At 52.2% G+C, this 16573-nt stretch overlaps 1 protein-coding gene across 7 annotated transcripts in view, besides 2 other annotated features; it reads right to left on the bottom strand.

Annotated features, from left to right (window-relative positions):
- Positions 1-16573, bottom strand: part of POR (cytochrome p450 oxidoreductase) — a 71701-nt gene that overhangs the window by 14603 nt on the left and 40525 nt on the right. Inside the window, exon 3 of one of the 7 annotated variants that reach the window (NM_001382655.3) lies at positions 15292-15345. The exons of the other annotated variants lie outside the window; for them this stretch is intronic. Within the exon in view, the coding sequence (NP_001369584.2) occupies positions 15292-15345 (54 nt within the window). The remainder of the gene's footprint in view (positions 1-15291; positions 15346-16573) is intronic. 7 annotated transcript variants of the gene reach the window in all.
- Positions 4655-5534: an enhancer, noted in NCBI's record as "H3K27ac hESC enhancer chr7:75596037-75596916 (GRCh37/hg19 assembly coordinates)". NCBI's record gives its function as "activates a minimal SCP1, AML or CMV promoter by ChIP-STARR-seq in primed H9 embryonic stem cells {active_cell/tissue: H9 hESC(primed)}" and the evidence as "EXISTENCE:reporter gene assay evidence [ECO:0000049][PMID:30033119]".
- Positions 13128-13422: a silencer, noted in NCBI's record as "tiled region #2709; K562 Repressive non-DNase unmatched - State 16:ElonW". NCBI's record gives its function as "represses a minimal TATA promoter and a strong SV40 promoter by Sharpr-MPRA in K562 cells {active_cell/tissue: K562}" and the evidence as "EXISTENCE:reporter gene assay evidence [ECO:0000049][PMID:27701403]".

Genomic DNA, 16573 nt, shown 5'->3' with positions numbered 1-16573 from the left:
CAGCAGCTGGCCTCTAATCCAACACCAGGGCTCCCAGGCCTCCCGCACCAGCTCACCCTTCCCATTTCCCCTACAGTAAAGCCTCTTGCGACACCAGTGCTTTGCAAAGCCAAGACCTCTCCTGCACCCAGATAGATATGGGCTTGTTTCCCTCAAGGAAGAGCCAAGGTTTCCACTTCCCTCTTCCTCCCCACCCACAGCCCAGGTCCCCACGGCCTGACCTCAGCCTGACCTTCCACCTCTTCACCTCTTCCTTCTCCAGCCCCTGCCTCTCACATCTGCCACTTCCCTGCTCCGCTCTTCAACAGCTCCCACGACCCATGGGATCCGGGCACATGAGTCCCCTCAGAGTCTGTCTCCAGCGTCACCTGCCACTCCCCTCCACAAACCAAGCTTGATGCCTAATTCACACCCCCTCCCTGCATGGTGGCCTCAGAATCCTGTGCACGCCATCGCTTCCACCCAGAGCCTTCCTGCCACAGTCCCCTCACCTGGCTGACCCCCGCTCTGCCCTCAAGGTCCTGCGCAAGGGTCAGCTCCCCTGGGATTCAAAGACCCCCTCTGCTTCCCCTGCACTGGGCCACATTTCATTTTTCCCTTCTCTGCGTTCCTGGGACTACAGCCCTCACCTTGGTCCATCCCCTCCAGAGGGCAGCCTGGTGCCCGCCAGCCTCAGGATCAGGCTGGGGTGACACAATCTTCTGTCCACTGTCCACTTCTGGCCTTCTACCCCCGCACCACCCCTCACCCCGCCCCATTTTCCGTTCTTCTGTTTCCTTCTGACCCTTGCCCCAAGCCTGCAGGGCCAGAGGAACAAGCCCAGTGCCCCTTGCCCAGGACTTTCAAGCTGAAGGAGGTGAAAAACGCTGGCTGAATACAGCAAGGTGGGAAACACCTTCCTCTGGGTGGTGGAGATTTGAAATATGGCCATTCTGAATCAAGTGACAAACCTGAAGATGAAAATACATTTTTGTATTTAAAATGACATTTTTGGTCGGGCATAGTGGCTCATGCACGTAATTCCAGCACTTTGGGAGGTTGAGGCGGGAGGATCACTTGAGTCAGGAGTTTGAGCCCAGCCTGACCAACATGGCAAAACCCCGTCTCTACTAAAAATACAAAAATTAGCCGGGCCTGGTGACGCGCACCTGTAATCTCACCTACTCGGGAGGCTGAGGCAGGAGAATCACTTGAACTAGGGAGGCGGAGGTTGCAGTGAGCCGAGATCACGCCACTGTACTCCAGCCTGGGCAACAGAGTGAGAATCTGTCTCAAAAAATAAAATAAAATAAAATAAAATAAAATAAAATAAAAAACGCCATTAAAGGAAGGAAAGGCAAGCTGCAGTGTGGGAGAGGATATTTGTAATGTACTTATATGTGGGCAAAAGACTTTGATCGAGAATGTAAGAAAGCCCTACAAATCAACAGGAAAAAGACAAATCCTCCATCAGAAAAACTATCAAAAGACTTGAAGAGGCATTTTCTTTTTCTTTTTTTTTTTTGAGATGGAGTCTCGCTTTGTCGCCCAGGCTGGAGTGCAGTGGCACGATCTTGGCTCACTGCAACTTCCAAGAAGAGGCATTTTCTTAAAGAGAGTATCCAAGAACCTAGCTCAGTGGCCGACACTTGTAATGCCAGCACTTTGGGAAACCAAGGTGGGAGGATCACTTGAGGCCAGTTTGAGACCAGCCTGGGTAAAACAGCAATACTCTACCTCTAAAAAAAAAAATTTTTTTTAATTAGCCCGGTGTGGTGGTCTGTGCCTGTGGTCCCAGCTACTCAGGAGGCTGAGGTGGGAGGATCCCTTGAACCTGGGTGTTTGAAGCTGCAGTGGGCGATGATCTCACCACTGTGCGATCACATGACCGTGCGGTGCGATCATAGCTCACTGCAGCTTCAAACACCCGGGTTCCAGCCCGGGAGACAGAGGGAGACCCTGTAAATCAACCAACCAACCGATATAAATAAACAGAAGTGGTACATGTGGGGCCCGACTGATTGATTTTGAAGCCTCCAACAATAAGGATAATTAGAATAGCTACACCCTGAGTAAGGGGACCCCAGCAGAGCAGATATTTTAAACAAGAGAAAAGTGGCCGATTCTGAACACCCCTCCCGCAGTGGCCCGGCCCCATTTCCCACCTCTCTGGGCTACGCTAAGCTACTCACATTTCCACGCGGCTCCCTGGGCCTACAAGGCCCTTCCTGTGACCCCTTCCCACCTTCTACTCATCCTTTACCACAGAACTTAACTTTCCTCTCCCAGAGGCCGTCCCTGCCCCTCACGCAGCAACGCTACTGTCGCCGTCTTCGCTGTGGCACACACACTGGTCGGCCAAGGCACTTTACTCTGCACATTCCTGTGGCTTAACTGGAAGCCTGGGTTGAATAACCTTGGGGGCTGTCTGTGTATCCCTGCCATGAGCGCGACGCCTAGCACACGGCACAGGACGCCGTGTCTCCTCCTAGGGTGGCCAGCCCTGAGTTCTCTGTCCAGCACGAGGCTGGCAGGGGCGGACTAAGAGGCTGTTGAGGGCACTTCTCACTCCCTAGCCACCTCTGAGGTCTGACCTGGCATCAGCTGAAAAGCCAACCCCTATCTCTACTCAAAGGACAGATGCTTCCAGGGAAGTTCCATCTCCAACAAAGTGGATCTGAAGATTTGCTGAAGAAAAGGACAAGAGCAAACTCCAGTGCCCCGTGAGTGCCTGGCGGGTAACACAGGCCAGCCAGGTGGGGGCACGGGAGGCACTGCGCCAGGCACCGAGGGCATGAGACTAGAACGAGACAACCTGTGACTTCACAGGCCCAATCCTCCAGCCAGGGGAAGACAGCCTCCGAGGAGGATCCCAGCAAGATGGGAAGAGCCACGTGGCAGGGCGGACCTGGCTTTAAATCCTGGCTCTGACACTAGACAGGCACGGGACTGCACAGGCCCCGCCCCTCTCGTGCCCACACTATTATTAAAGAGCTGCATCTGGTTATTGCAGCCTCCCCAGTGCCTGACTGGGGAACTTGGTTAACACCCAGTAGAAAAAAGGGCATTCCCTGGAAGGCGGTCAGCCTGTGATTTCAAAGACATCCATGGCACAAGGTGGCATGTGCTAAGACCACATAGATGGATGGCACAGTTCACGCCACAGGGACGGATGGGACAGGACAGGTTCACGCCACAGGGCTTCAAAGGGAGCAGACGCTTATGGCTGAAGAAACCGGGAAAGGCCTCTTGGACGAGCTGGGCTGTCTTCTCAGGAATAGAAAACGGCCCCCTGGAGAGACAGCCCCACGGGAAGCGGGGTGCCAAGGGATGGCAACTTCCAAGCTCGGCTCCCATCCCAGAAGCCCGGCAAGTGGCGGGGGAGGAGGGCTTCCATGTGACCTCCTGACGCAGTTGGACAAAGCAGAATGCCAGGCTGGCTGGCCCTGGGAGTGGACAGGGGAGCCTCTGGGCTGGAACGTCAGAGTGGACAAGGTGTGCCAGCCTGCTCTGCCCCAAGGCTAGGGTTCACCCAGGAAGTGTGAGTGGTCCAGGGGGGAAAAGGGAACCCAAGGAGCTGGAGGCGGACCTGTGCCTCTAGGTCACCGGCGCAACACAGAACAATTCCTTCAAGTTCCTGCTGGTTAAACCCATCCTGCCGGGGAGGGTGCCAGGAAACTCCCTTCCCAACCCAAGGCCCTGCTGGGGGCTCCAAGAAGCAAAGTTCACGGGCTTAGCCCGAGAGGGCCCACACTGGACTGCTCTGAATGGGCTCCATTCCATCGGAGGACCTCAGACCTGGATTTGCATGGGGGACCTGATTATTTATAGGCAGAGAAGAGGGTGCATGAGGCCTTCCTGGTCTCCAGTCCAAATTCCTTCCTTTGGAAGCAGGGAAATGCAGCGTGCAAGTCCTGGACCAGAGGGGCCACCAGTGCCTAGGCCTGGCTGAGTCCCTCGCCAGAGACAGGGGCAGCAACCCTGGGAATGGCTGACCTTGCTGTTAACTCCAGGCAGCCGCATCTTCAGGCCTCCAGCAGGTCCCCGCCAGGAGGAAGTCTCCCACACTCGAGTGAGGGTGCAGGCGTCCCCTGGCCAAGGGGCATGAGGGCAGTCTGCCGCCAGGGACAGTGTCAGGAACTGACCTTCTCAGAGCGGGCTCCTCAGGTGGAGACGAGTACGTGCACCCCATGGCTTCTCACTCTCAGCTCCAGGACTTAAGGAAAAAGGAGGGTCACAGCTCTCTCCTGGACACCAGCAGGGGCCAGCAGATGGAAAGTTCGGCCCTGTGCATCCCCTGTTCCGTACTGGTGAGGAAGTTGCCTGGGCCCGTGGCCTCAAAGTGCTCCTGGACACCCCAAAGTCCTCTCGGAATTTCCCTGAGCTCCTGCCTGCGTCTGCCCCCATGAGCCCAAGAACTCTGCAACATCTGGAGCCCCAGCAGGCAGGACTCAGGATTCCAGAGTGAAGCCTCCCATGAGTCCCTGCACCGGGCACACACCCCTCCTCCCTCTGTATGGACCGAGGGAAGGAGAAAACCTTTCCAACCCCGACTCGGGTCTCCTTGGTAACTGTTTATATCAGAGCCCTTCTCCCCACGCCCTCCCCGTTTCCCATTAAAAAAAAAAAGGAAGTCATGTCTGCGGAACAAAGCTCTTCTAGGCTCTAGAAGACAGCCTGCAGGTTGCTATGGCAGGGCTGCACTCCATAAAGGAAGCCACACTGATCCCACTGCCAGGGCGCCACACAATCACATTAAATTAAGTCTGGTCCCTGTCTTCCCCCACACAAAAGAATTGCGGGCAAACAGAGCTTAAGACACTGGGTCCATGTCAGCGGGAAGCATCCTGTGTGCCATGAAAGACACACCTTCCCCTCCCATCAGGGCAGTTGGGGAAATGCCTGGCAAGGTGGGCTCCGTTTGCAGTGGTGATGTTCTGTCTTGGGGAGCACCCTTCTGAGGTTCCCGAGTGCAAACAGCCCATCCGAAAGCCCAAGGCTCGGCGGAGTGCAGTGGCTCACACCAGTACAGCACTTTGGGAGGCCGAGGTGGGTGGACGCCATAGCTCAGGAGTTTGAGGCCAGCCTGGGCAACATGGCGAAACAGCCTGTCTCTACCAAAAATACAAAAATTAGCCGGGTGTAGAGGTGTGCGTCTGTGATCCCAGCTACTTGGGAGGCTGAGGTAGGAGGATCACTTGAGCCTGAAGGCTGAGGTGAAGGTTGCAGTGAGCCAAGATTGTGCCACTGCACTCCAACCTGGTTGACAGAGTGAGACCCTGTCTCAAGAAAAAACAAACAAAACCAGAAAGCCCAAGGCTCCAGCCGTACAGAGGTGGCAGCTGTCCCAGGCCTGGAGCACACAGACCACGTGGCTCCAGAACGGAGCATGAAAGGTTCCAATTAAGGCTCTCCACGCCTAAATTGGGAGCAGGAGTCTTTCTGGGTTCAGGATCAGAAGTCAGCTGTAGTCCACTGCGTGGGGAAGATGAGGGAGGGCGGGAAAAGCACTGAGTCACTTGGACCGAGATGAACCGAGATGTGCGGTTCATTTTGTTCCCGTCACAGGCGACGCTGAGGAACATTTCTGGAAACTGCAAATCCGGTTGGATTTTCTGCAGCGGACTCGATTTCTCCTGAGACTGTCCCCTGCCCTTAGCAACACATGGGGAAGCTGCTTTGGACCAGCTCCCTTTCAGAACCTAGCGTCTACTGCCAAGTTCTCCAGGCTCCAGGGTCATGGGTGCCCACGGCGAGAGAAGGGGTGGCGGCTGAGGCACAGAGGCACGATGGCAGCAGAGCTGGGGGCAGCCTGCTCTGGCAGGACGGAGAGTGGGCTCTGCTAGGCGGACCCAGATTTCTTGACCTTCAGAGCCTTGTGGCATGGGGCTAATGGTTGGAAACGCCAGTCTTTGGTGAAAACAGAAAGTGGTTTGCTGGAGCTCAGACAGAAGCCAGCAGCTGTCTCTGCGGACAGGGACTCTGATGAACACGTGGGGAGGGCAGCTGCTGGAGACAGCTGGCTACAGGCAGGGGGAGGTGAAAGCAGGTGTGAGTGGCCACAGGTCAGAGACAAAACAGGCGAAGGGAATGACTTCTTACTGAGTGCCTACTGCATGCTGGCTAGCATTCAAGAAGCTTTCTATTTTATTTTGTTTAATCCTCACCACCCTGTGCAGTGCGCAAGGGTTTCTATCCACCTTGACAAGGCAGTGAGGCTCAGGGTGGGTGAAGCGGTAATTCAACTCCAGGCCTGTGAAAGCTCCAGGGCCCAGTGGCCCAGCACCCGGGGTTCCTGTCTGCTCCCCAAGCAAGGTGCACCTCCCCCGGCTTTACCCTGTCTGCAGTGCGCCCCGGGCACGTTCAGGCAGCACATCTCACAGCCCTTCCCAAGGATCCTGGGGCCGTGTCCTCAGGATGCTCTAAGGCTCTGGTGGGCTGCCGCTCCCTCATTCCCCCCGACCATGTCCTCCAGCACGTGTTCACATCAGGACTCCGTGAGCAAGTCTGTGAAGCTCAGAAAGCCTGCTGTGCTGTTCCACACACGCAAAAGCCTTGATGCTCTTCTGACGACCTCAGCAGTGACCCTGAGCCAGGGGGTGGCCAGGACTAGGGCTAATTTTCCGGAGACAGAGAAGAGAAACTCAGGGTTATTCAGCCCATCGGTGACAGAAAGAAAAGGCCATACCCTCAGACAGTAAGATCATCTGATCTGGCACAAAGTGGCTCTGCTATTGTGTGCAATCAAAGGGGATGGAAAGGAGGGGTGGGCTGGGGTGGCCATGACAAGAGCTAGGGGTCCGAGGGAGCAAAAGCGTGGTGCAGGAAGCCCCAGGCTGGAATCCCAGCTCTCATGTGCTAACGTCAGCCTTGACCAGGTCACTCACCCTCTCCTGGGATCAGCACTGCCATTTGTAAAATGGAGATAAGAACATCACCTCTGGTGGGTGATGAGGGTCCCAGAATTATGTTTTCAAAAGCACTGGCTTGGAGCCCTTTCTCTGATCCACTGACACCTGCATTTGCACTCGGCTCTCCATCTGTGCCGAGCGGCCCTGGTCAATTTCTGCTAGGCTGAGGCCAGCAGCCTCCTGGCCCATCTTCCTGCTTCCAAGTCAGCTCCCTCCACTCCAGCTCCAAATGGCGCTTCATGGGGCCACCGCTCTCCAGACACCGCCATCCTACACAGGCTTCCCCAGCTCCCTGTTAGCGTCATCCACATATGTCATTTTTTTAAATTGATTTTTTAGTTTTTCTAGAGACGGGGTTCGCTCCGTTGCCCAGGCTGGAGTGCAGTGGCGTGACCACAGCTCACTGCAGCCTCCAACTCCTGCCTCAGCCTCCCAAAGTGCTGCGATGACAGGTCCACACCACCATGCCCAGCTAATTTTTGAATTTATTTTTAAGTTTTTGTAGAGTCGATGTCTTGCTATGTTGCCCAAGCTGGCCTTGACCTCCTGGCTTCAAGTGATCCTCTCGCCTCAGCCTCCCAAGTAGCTGGTATTACAGGTGTAAGCCACCATGCTCAGCTAAGATACGTATATCAGAACATCACACTGTATACTTTGAACTTACATAATTTTAAATATATGTATAAAATTTTTATTTGTCAATTATGTCATTTTAAAGCTGGGAAAAATAAAATTTACAAAGAAAGAAAAATGCTGGCCTGGTGCGGTGGCTCACACCTGTAATCCCAACACTTTGGAAGGCTGAGGCAGGCGGATCACCTGAGGTCAGCAGTTCGAGATCAGCCTGGCCAATATGGTGAAACCCCGTCTCTACTAAAAATACAAAAATTAGCCGGGTGTGGTGGCAGGCGCCTGTAATCCCAGCTACTCGGGAGGCTGAAGCAGGAGAATCGCCTGAAGCCGGGAGGCGGAGGTGGCAGTGAGCCGAGATTGCGCCATTGCACTTCAGCCTGGGGGACAGGAGCGAGACTTAGTCTCAAAAAGAAAAAAAGAAAAATGCTTAGGCTGGGCATGGTGGCTCACGCCTGTAATCCCAACACTTTGGGAGGCTGAGGTGGGTGGATCACTTGAGGTCAGGAGTTCAAGACCAGCCCGGTCAACATGGTGAAACCCCATCTCTACTCAAAATACAAAAATTAGCTGGGCGTGGTGGCAGGCACCTGTAGTCCCAGCTACTCAGGAAGCTGAGGCAGGAGAATCACTTGGACCCAGGAGGCAGAGGTTGCAGTGAGCCAAGATTGTGCCACTGAACTCCAGCCTGGGCCACAGAGTAAGACTCCATCTCAAAAAAAAAAAAGAAAGAAAGAAAAAGAAAAAAACTTAGATGCTCTGATAAATATATATAATTTTTGTCATTTATACCTCAATAAAGCTGGGGAAAAAAATCCATACCCCTTGGAAGGTCCCAAGGCCCTCTAAGATGCTCTCCTGTGTCAGCTCCCTCCATGACCTGACTTCCTTGGTGACCCCAACTCCTTTTATGACCTCTGACCCCCCACGACCCCTGACTCCCTTGGTGACCTGTGCCTGGGCTCTACCAGCATGTGGCTCCCTTGGAACAGCCCCGCGTGTCCTCACCTCCCAGCCTCCACACTTGGCCTCCTAGGCTCCTGTGGGGGCATCTCATCCCTGACACACCCCCAATGGGGGATACCCCTCCTCTGCATTCCCACCACCCCCAGGCCAGTAGAGCACATGTCCCACTGTGCCATCCACAGCTCCCTCTCCTGCACCCGACAGGGCCCAGTGAAGTCAGGAGGTCAGACAACATGCGCTCTGCACGGCAGTACCCGACAGTTCCCGACAGCCCATGTCTGGAGTTTCAAGCACTTGTCAGAGTGACAGAAACCTCCCCCATCTCATCAGGGACCAGGAAAGGAAGGAGAGGAGGCGAGGTCCCTTTGGAGGTCAGATGGCAGCAGAAAACCCAGAGCTGTGCTTGCAGAAGTGGCAGAAACACCCTGGCCCATGTCCTCGCCGTTCCCACAGCAGCGGGAGGCAGTGGGCCCCCTGCACCGTCTACTCTCGTGGCCACAGGCTTCCCCTAATGCTTTCCTCTTTGTCAGTCTCATTTGTATTTCTCTTTTCATGCTCGATGGAGCCAAGGACCTCACTACAGAGAAAGTGACCCTGAACTGGATGTGGCAAGACCCCCAGATCCACTTCCCATCTGTTGGCACTCAGGAGATAAAAAACAGACACGTGATGCTGGCAGCCCTGACCCCTGGCCTCCCGGGCTTTCTGTCAAGAACAGGCCCCAAAAGGAAGGTCACTCAGGAAAATGAGATCTTTTGTGGCTTTTCAAAAGCAATCTCCAGGGGGACGTAATCAGGAAAATCCAGACTGTGGGAAACTGTGATACAAATGATGTTTCAAGGAAGAAACGGGATGGAAGGGAAGCTTAGGAATGGAAAGGGAGCTGACGTGTCGCTAAGGAAAAACCGCTGGCACAGCAGCCCACGGTGCTATCATTCCATTTATGTGACGCTTTGGAAAATGTTAAACTACAGGGACAGAAATAAGATTGGCAGTTGCCAGAGGCTGATTACCCGATGGAGGAGGATGATTGCAAAGAGGTAGGACAGGACTGTTTCGGAGTGATGAAATGTTCTAGATTTCGATTATGATACTGATTACAGAATCACATACATCTGTCAAGACTCATGAACTGGTGCACTTAAAGAGGAAAATGTTGGCCCAGTGCAGTGGCTCATGCCTGTAATCCTAATCCTAGCACTTTGGGAGGCTGAGGCAAGAGGATCACTTGAACTCAGACGTTCGAACAAGACCAGCCTGGGCAACATAGTGAGACTTTGTCTCTACTAAAATTAAAAATAAAAATTAGCCGAGTATGGTGGCACATGCCCGTAGCCCCAGCTACTCAGGGGGCTGAGATGGGACGATCCCCTTAAGCCTGGGAGGTAGAGGCTGTAGTGAGCCCTGATCACACCCCTGCACTCCAGCCTGGGTGACAGAGCAAGACCCTGTCTCAAAAAAAAGGGAGGAGGGGGGCATTTTACTGTATGCAAATTATACCTGAATATACCTGACCTCTCCCAAACGAAAGATTTATTAATCAACTGCAGTGTATGGGTCTTGTTTAGATCCTGAATTAAACAAACAAAAACTGTTAAACAAAATCAAACATCAGTCAATCAGGGAACTATGAATAAATGTTGTCTGGGTATCTAACGATGCTGAAGAATTACTGTTGACTTCCAAGGTGTGAAGATGGCGTTGTGTTATGTTCAGAAAGGAGAATACTTGAAGTTTACTTTTTTTTTTTTTTGAGACAGGGTCTCGTTCTGTCACCCAGGTTGGAGTGCAGTGGCACAACCATGGCTCACTGCAGCCTCAACCTCCTGGGCTCAAGTGATCCTCCCACCTCAGCCTTCTGAGTAACTGGGACCACAGGCATGTGCCACCACACTTGACTAATGTTTGTGTTTTTTGTAGAGACGGGGTCTTGCTATGCTACCCAGGCTGATCTCGAACACTTGGCTTCAAGTGATTCTCCTGCCTCAGCCTCCCGAAGTGCTGGGATTACAGGCATGAGCCGCCATGCCTGGCGAGTCCTTGAATTTTAGAGGACTGAAACATTTCCTGATGAAATATGACATCTGGGGATTGCATTAAAATAATCCAGGACTGGTGCGGCGGTGGGGGGCAGCGGAAAGAAATAAGACCGGCGAGGAGTGAGTAGTTATGAAAACTGGGGGCTGGAGGCGTATGGGGTCCACTCTCCTGTGCCCTACACTCTGGTGTTTGAAATGTTCCATAAGAAGCTTTATTTTTCTTTAAAGCACTCTAGCATTCCAGGAGCAAAGCACAGGTGCAGGGGGCACTGCAGAGCTTCTCAGGGCCAGTAGAGGCAACATGAGCACAGCAGCCTGAGCGGGCTGGAGGGTCAGAGTGAATGCAGCGCACAGGCCTCGTGCAGAATGGGGCCGCTGCTCAGCTGCTCCACAGCTGGTGGGCATCACTGTGGGTCCAGTATGACCAGATCCTCTATTTTTTTTTTTTTTTTTAAAGAAGCTGTAAGTCTAAGTTTTTATTTGATACTGCCTTTTTTTTTTTGGTCTCACTTCATCGCCCAGGCTGGAATGCAGTAGCGTGATCTCAGCTCACTGCAACTTCCACCTCCTGGATTCAAGCAATTCTCCTGCCTCAGCCTCCCGAGTAGCTGGGATTACAGGCACGCACCACCATGCCCAGCTAATTTTTGTACTTTTTGTAGAGACAGGGTTTTGCCATGTTGGCCAGGCTGGTCTTGAACTCCTGGCCTCATGTGATCCACCTGCTTTGGCCTCCCAGAGTGCTGGGATTACAGGTGTCAGCCACCACGCTGGGCCTGATACTGCCACACTTTTTAATGTTCTAATTAAAATATTTTTTAAAAAAATACTGTGTAAGCCAAACCCAGCCTGGAGGCCACAGGTTTCCCTAGAGGCAGCCACACATACAGATTTAGCCTTGGTTAATTCAACGGCCATTCTCTGAGAAGCTTCCCTCCGACAGGCGGCCCCGCACTAAGGTAGGGACCCAGATGGAAATGGGACGCTCTCTGCACCATGGGAGGCAAAAATACAAATTCCATCACCAAGAGGGCACGCCATGCGGTGTTGTTCCATAAGGGTGAGCAAAGCTGCCAGGCCCACAGGAGAGAGAGCCCACAGGAGCCCTGGATCCTGTGGGACTTTGGATCCTACACAGTGAGTGATCTCAGAACTTTGCAAGGCTGAGGCAGGGAGACTGCTTGAGGCCAGGAGGTTAAGACCCAGCCTGGGCAACAGAGCGAGACCATGTCTTTAAAAAAAAATAAATAAGCCAGGCATGGTGGCATGTGCCCGTCACCCCAGCTACTCAAGAGGCTGAGCATTCCCTGGGGCTCCCTTAGGGCATGAGCTGCCCCAGTGCGAAATGCTCTGTTCAGAGGTGCAACCTGAGTGAGTGGGAGTGGACGTGAAAGAGTCATTATTATATATTATTATTATTATTATTATTATTATTTTGAGAGGGGGTCTTGCTCTGTCGCCCAGGCTGGAGTGCAGCGGTGTGAGCTCGGCGCTCGGCAGCCTTGGCATCCCAGGCTCAGGTGATCCTCTCACCTCAGCCTCCTGAGTAGCTGGGACTACAAGCGTATGCTACCGTGCCTGGCTAATTTTTGTATTTTTTCCGTAGAGACAGGGTTTCGTCATGTTGCCAGGCTGATCTTGAACTCCTGGGCTCAAAGCAATCCACCTGCCTCGGCCTCCTGAAGTGTGGGATTCCAGGCGTGAGCCACCACACCTGGCAGGAAGAGCCATTTATTATCATTACTGCTACTATTATTATGAAAAAGAACTTGTTGCTCATTACCACTCCTCTCTAACAAGTCATTAATTGCTATTACAAACAGTCCAAAAGACCTCCCCGGGAGGGATAAAACAATGTTCATGGAATAGAAAGCTCAATATTGTAGGATGTCAACTCTTCCCATATTAATATACAGATTCAATCCAATTCCAACAAAAATCCCACTGGGTTTTTTGTTTTAAAAATGTGTTTGGCCCCGTACAGTGGCTCACACCTGTAATCCCAGTATTTTGGGACGCCCAGGCGGATGGATCACTTGGGGTCAGGAGTTTAAGACCAGCCTGGCCAACGTGGTGAAACTCCATCTCTACTAAAAATACAAAAATTAGCCGGGCATCATGGTGGGTGCCTGTAATCCCAGCAACTTGGGAGGCTGAAGCAAGAGAATCGCTTGAGCCCCAGAGGCAGAGGTTGCAGTGAACTGATATCGCGCCATAGCACTCCAGCCTGGGTGACAGGGCGAGACCGTGTCTCTAAAACAAAATAAATAAATGCCAATTCTAGAAGCCACCAGAAATCATGGTGAGAGTTCCTGATATAGCCCTGGGCCACATACCTTCCTCACACTAAGCCCTATTACTCCCTACTGCTCTGTGGCTATAACAGAAATCACCTGTGCTCACTGAAATACCGGTAGCCAGGGACACTGATGTGGGATTTAGAATAGGAGATCTAGGCTTGAGGCCTGGTTGTATCAGCTAGGTGACCTTTCTGAGCCTCAGTTTTCTCCTATTTTTTATAGAGACAGGGCCTTGCTACGTTGCCCAGGCTGGTCTCCAACTCCTGGGCTTAAGCAATCCTCCTGCCTTGGCCTCCCAAAGAGCTGGGATCACAAGTGTGAACCACTACACCCAACTTCCTGCTCTGTAAAATAACATCTACAGGCTGAATGTCCCTAATCTAAAATCTGAAATCTGAAACTTTTTGAGCGTCAACATGATCCTCAAAGGGAAGAATCATTGGAGCATTTCAGATTTTCAGATAAGAAATGCTCATCTGGTGAGTATAATGCAAACATTCCAAAGTCCAAGATCTGAAACACTTCTGGCAAGCACTTCAGATAAGGAATACTCTCCTTGTCGGTAAATTAACAAATTAACACCACTCTTTTTTGTTTATTGTAGAGATGGCGGGGGGGTGGGGGTCTCCCTATGTTGCTCAGGCTGGTCTTGAACTCCTGGCTCAAGCAATCTTTGTGCCTCAGCCTCCCTAAGCACTGGGATTACAGGCGTGAGCCACCATGCCAGGCCTATTAACACTATCTTAGGAGACTAACACTATCGTAGGAGGCCTATTAACACTAAATTAGGAGCAGCATGGCAAAGTAGAGAAAACATGGCTTGTGGAGCTTGCAGACTTCATTCAAAAGCCAACTCTGCTGCTATTTAGAAGTTAGGTGGCCTTGGGCAAACTCTGCAATCCCTGGCACCTCGGTTTCTTCATCCGCAAAATGGGCTGCTCATGTCTTCGTGGAAGGGCTCTTGTAAGACTGGAGATGGTATTAATAAAAAGGATAAAAATAATAACACACTCCAGGCATGGTGGCTCACGCCTGTAATCCCAGCACTTTGGGAGGCCGAGGCAGGCAGACTGCTTGAGCCCAGGAGTTTCAGACCAGCCTGGGCAACATTGTTAGATGTCCATTTGTACAAAAAATATAAAAATTAGCCAAGGGTGGTGGTGCACGCCTGTAGTCCCAGCTACTTGGGAGGCCAAAGTGGGAGGATCTCTTGAGCCTGGGAGGCGGAGGTTGCAGTGAGCCGAGATCGTGCCAGCGTATTCCAGCCTGAACGACAGAGTGAGACCCTGCCTCAAAATAAATAAATAAATAGTAACAATCCATAACACCTGAGAGCCTACTATGCACCAGGAACTGAGCAAAGAGCTCTATGATGGATTAACTCAGTTTTCACAGCCTTATGAGGTAAGTACTACTACTACCTCCAGCTTACAGTTGGGGACACAGACTTGGAAAGATCAAGTCACCTGGCTGATGTCAGATGGCTAATGTGGGAGAGTCAGTACTCAACCTTGAGCACCCAACTTCAGGGTCCAGAATGTAGCCATGGTACTAGAAATATTTGTCTTGTACAGCGTACAGGTAAAAGCCCTGGCTGCAGCAGGCATCCAGTGTGATTTAATGAGGGAAGAGACAAGACTCTGGAAACTGCATATCTCCACACACATAAGGTTAGAAGATCATGATTAGGTGGAGGGAACAGAATTTCAGCATCCTGGCAAAGAGGAACAGTGAGAATCAACAAAAAAATACAAGTGCTTTGGGACCCTACAGCTCCCACAGTCTACAGGTTTTATGTCAACTTCCTCTTGTAAGGCCAGGGAGGTGACAGCGAGAACAGATGAGCTATGAGAGGAATGCTGCCTCCCTTGGTGGCAAGCTCCGCAGGCTCCCAGGGCCAACCCACGTCCTCACTCACGGCGGTGGGGCGGAACTTCCATTTTACAGATGAGGGAACAAGGGCCAGTTCAGGAGCTGGGTCCTGGACCCTGGTCTCTTTATCTTGAGTACTACTACGCTTTTTTATCAAAAGTACTATTCCACACCAGCAATGCCCCGTGTACCAGCCCTGGACAGGATGGGCTGGATTCCAGCTGATCTGCCCTTCCTATATCGGGCCCTCTGCTCTAAAGTCCTTTCAGCTTCAGGGTGTGGCTCTACCTTTAAGAACCTGCCCAACACCCCTCCTGCAGGACTTGGTCTGATCCCCACACCAATTCCTTCTCTCTTAGAGCTGGCGGAGCCTGTCTCTCCAGCCTGTGCCCTGGGCACATCCCATAACCTCTCTGAGAGCAGAAATGAGGCAACCCACGCTACCTAACGCACGGCGCTGTTGCAAGGAGGCCCTGATTAGACAATGTAGGTTAAAGCAGTTCACAAAGCATTTCTAAAAAGTACGCTGTGGCCGGGTGTGGTGGCTCACGCCTATAATCCCAGCACTATGGGAGGCAGAGGCAGGCAGCTCACCTGAGGTCGGGAGTTTGAGACCAGCCTGGCCAACATGGTGAAACCCCGTCTCTACTAAAAATACAAAAATTAGCCAGGCGTGGTAGCATGTGCCTGTAGTCCCAGGCACTCGGGAGACTGAGGCACGAGAATCGCCTGAACCCGGGAGGCGGAGGTTGCAGTGAGCCGAGATTGCACCACTGCACTCCAGCCTGAGTGACAAGAGCAAAAGTCTGTCTCAAAAAAAAAAAAACTATGTTGCAACACCCTCATTTTCCAGCTTAACATAAATGCTGGCTCTGTGGTCCTGATCGTGCCCGTCATAGTGCCTGGCACGAAATACGATCAACGCAAACACTACACAGCTCCTATCCCTCAGGGGCAGTGCTAGGTGAGTTTATAGACTCTTCCTCATTTAAGACAAAAGCCCCACAAGATTGGGAATACTGCCTCCATTTAGCAGGTGAGGAAACTGAGGCAGAATGAGGTTAAGGTCTCGCCCAGGGTTCACTCACCACTAGAGCGTAAGCTTGATGAAGACAGCATTCATCTATTTTCTTCACTGCTGCAGCCACACACCTTAGCATAGTGTCTGGGACACTGTAGGTAGGGCCTCAGGAAATGTTTGCTCAGTGAGTCAATGATGGAGATAAGATTGAACCCAGTTTTGTTTTGTTTTGTTTTGTTTTTGAGACGGACTCTGTCTCCCAGGCTGGAATGCAGTGGCGCATTCTTGGCTCACTGCAACCTCTGCCTCCTGGGTTCAAGCGATTCTTCTGCCTCAGCTTCCCTAGTAGCTGAAATTACAGGCATGCACCACCACGCCCAGCTAGTTTTTGTATTTTCGGTAGAGACGGGGTTTCGCCATGTTGGCCAGGCTGGTCTCGAACTCCTGACCTCAAGTGATTTCTCCCGCCTCGGCCTCCCAAAGTGGTGGAATTACAGACGTGAGCCGCTGTGCCTGGCCCTGAACCCAGTTTTTAAAAATGTAAAACTAATTCCCTGTCCATGGTATAAGAACTGTGTTGTGTGAATATCTGCTTTACGGTGTGAAGGCTGTAAGTGTTCTGGCGGGGAAGGCTGATACCCAGATTGGAATAGGGAATCGGGATTTGATGTGAGCGGCATGCTTCACCATGCCCAGCCTTGGAGAATGACTTTTCTGTGTGGCTTGTTCCTGCCAAGACAGCCACAGCCTTGGACTGGAACTGACATGACAGATGGCCCCCACTGGTGTCAGCACCAGCCCAGGGTGGCCCTGGGGTGCAAGCTAAGGCTGCAGCTGGGACTGGGTCCCCTGAAG

This window comes from Homo sapiens, chromosome 7, assembly GCF_000001405.40.
Source record: "Homo sapiens chromosome 7, GRCh38.p14 Primary Assembly".
Classification (NCBI taxonomy): domain Eukaryota; kingdom Metazoa; phylum Chordata; class Mammalia; order Primates; family Hominidae; genus Homo; species Homo sapiens.
The sequence above is the reverse complement of the archived record's forward strand: the minus strand, read 5'-3'. Positions and strand labels throughout refer to the sequence as shown.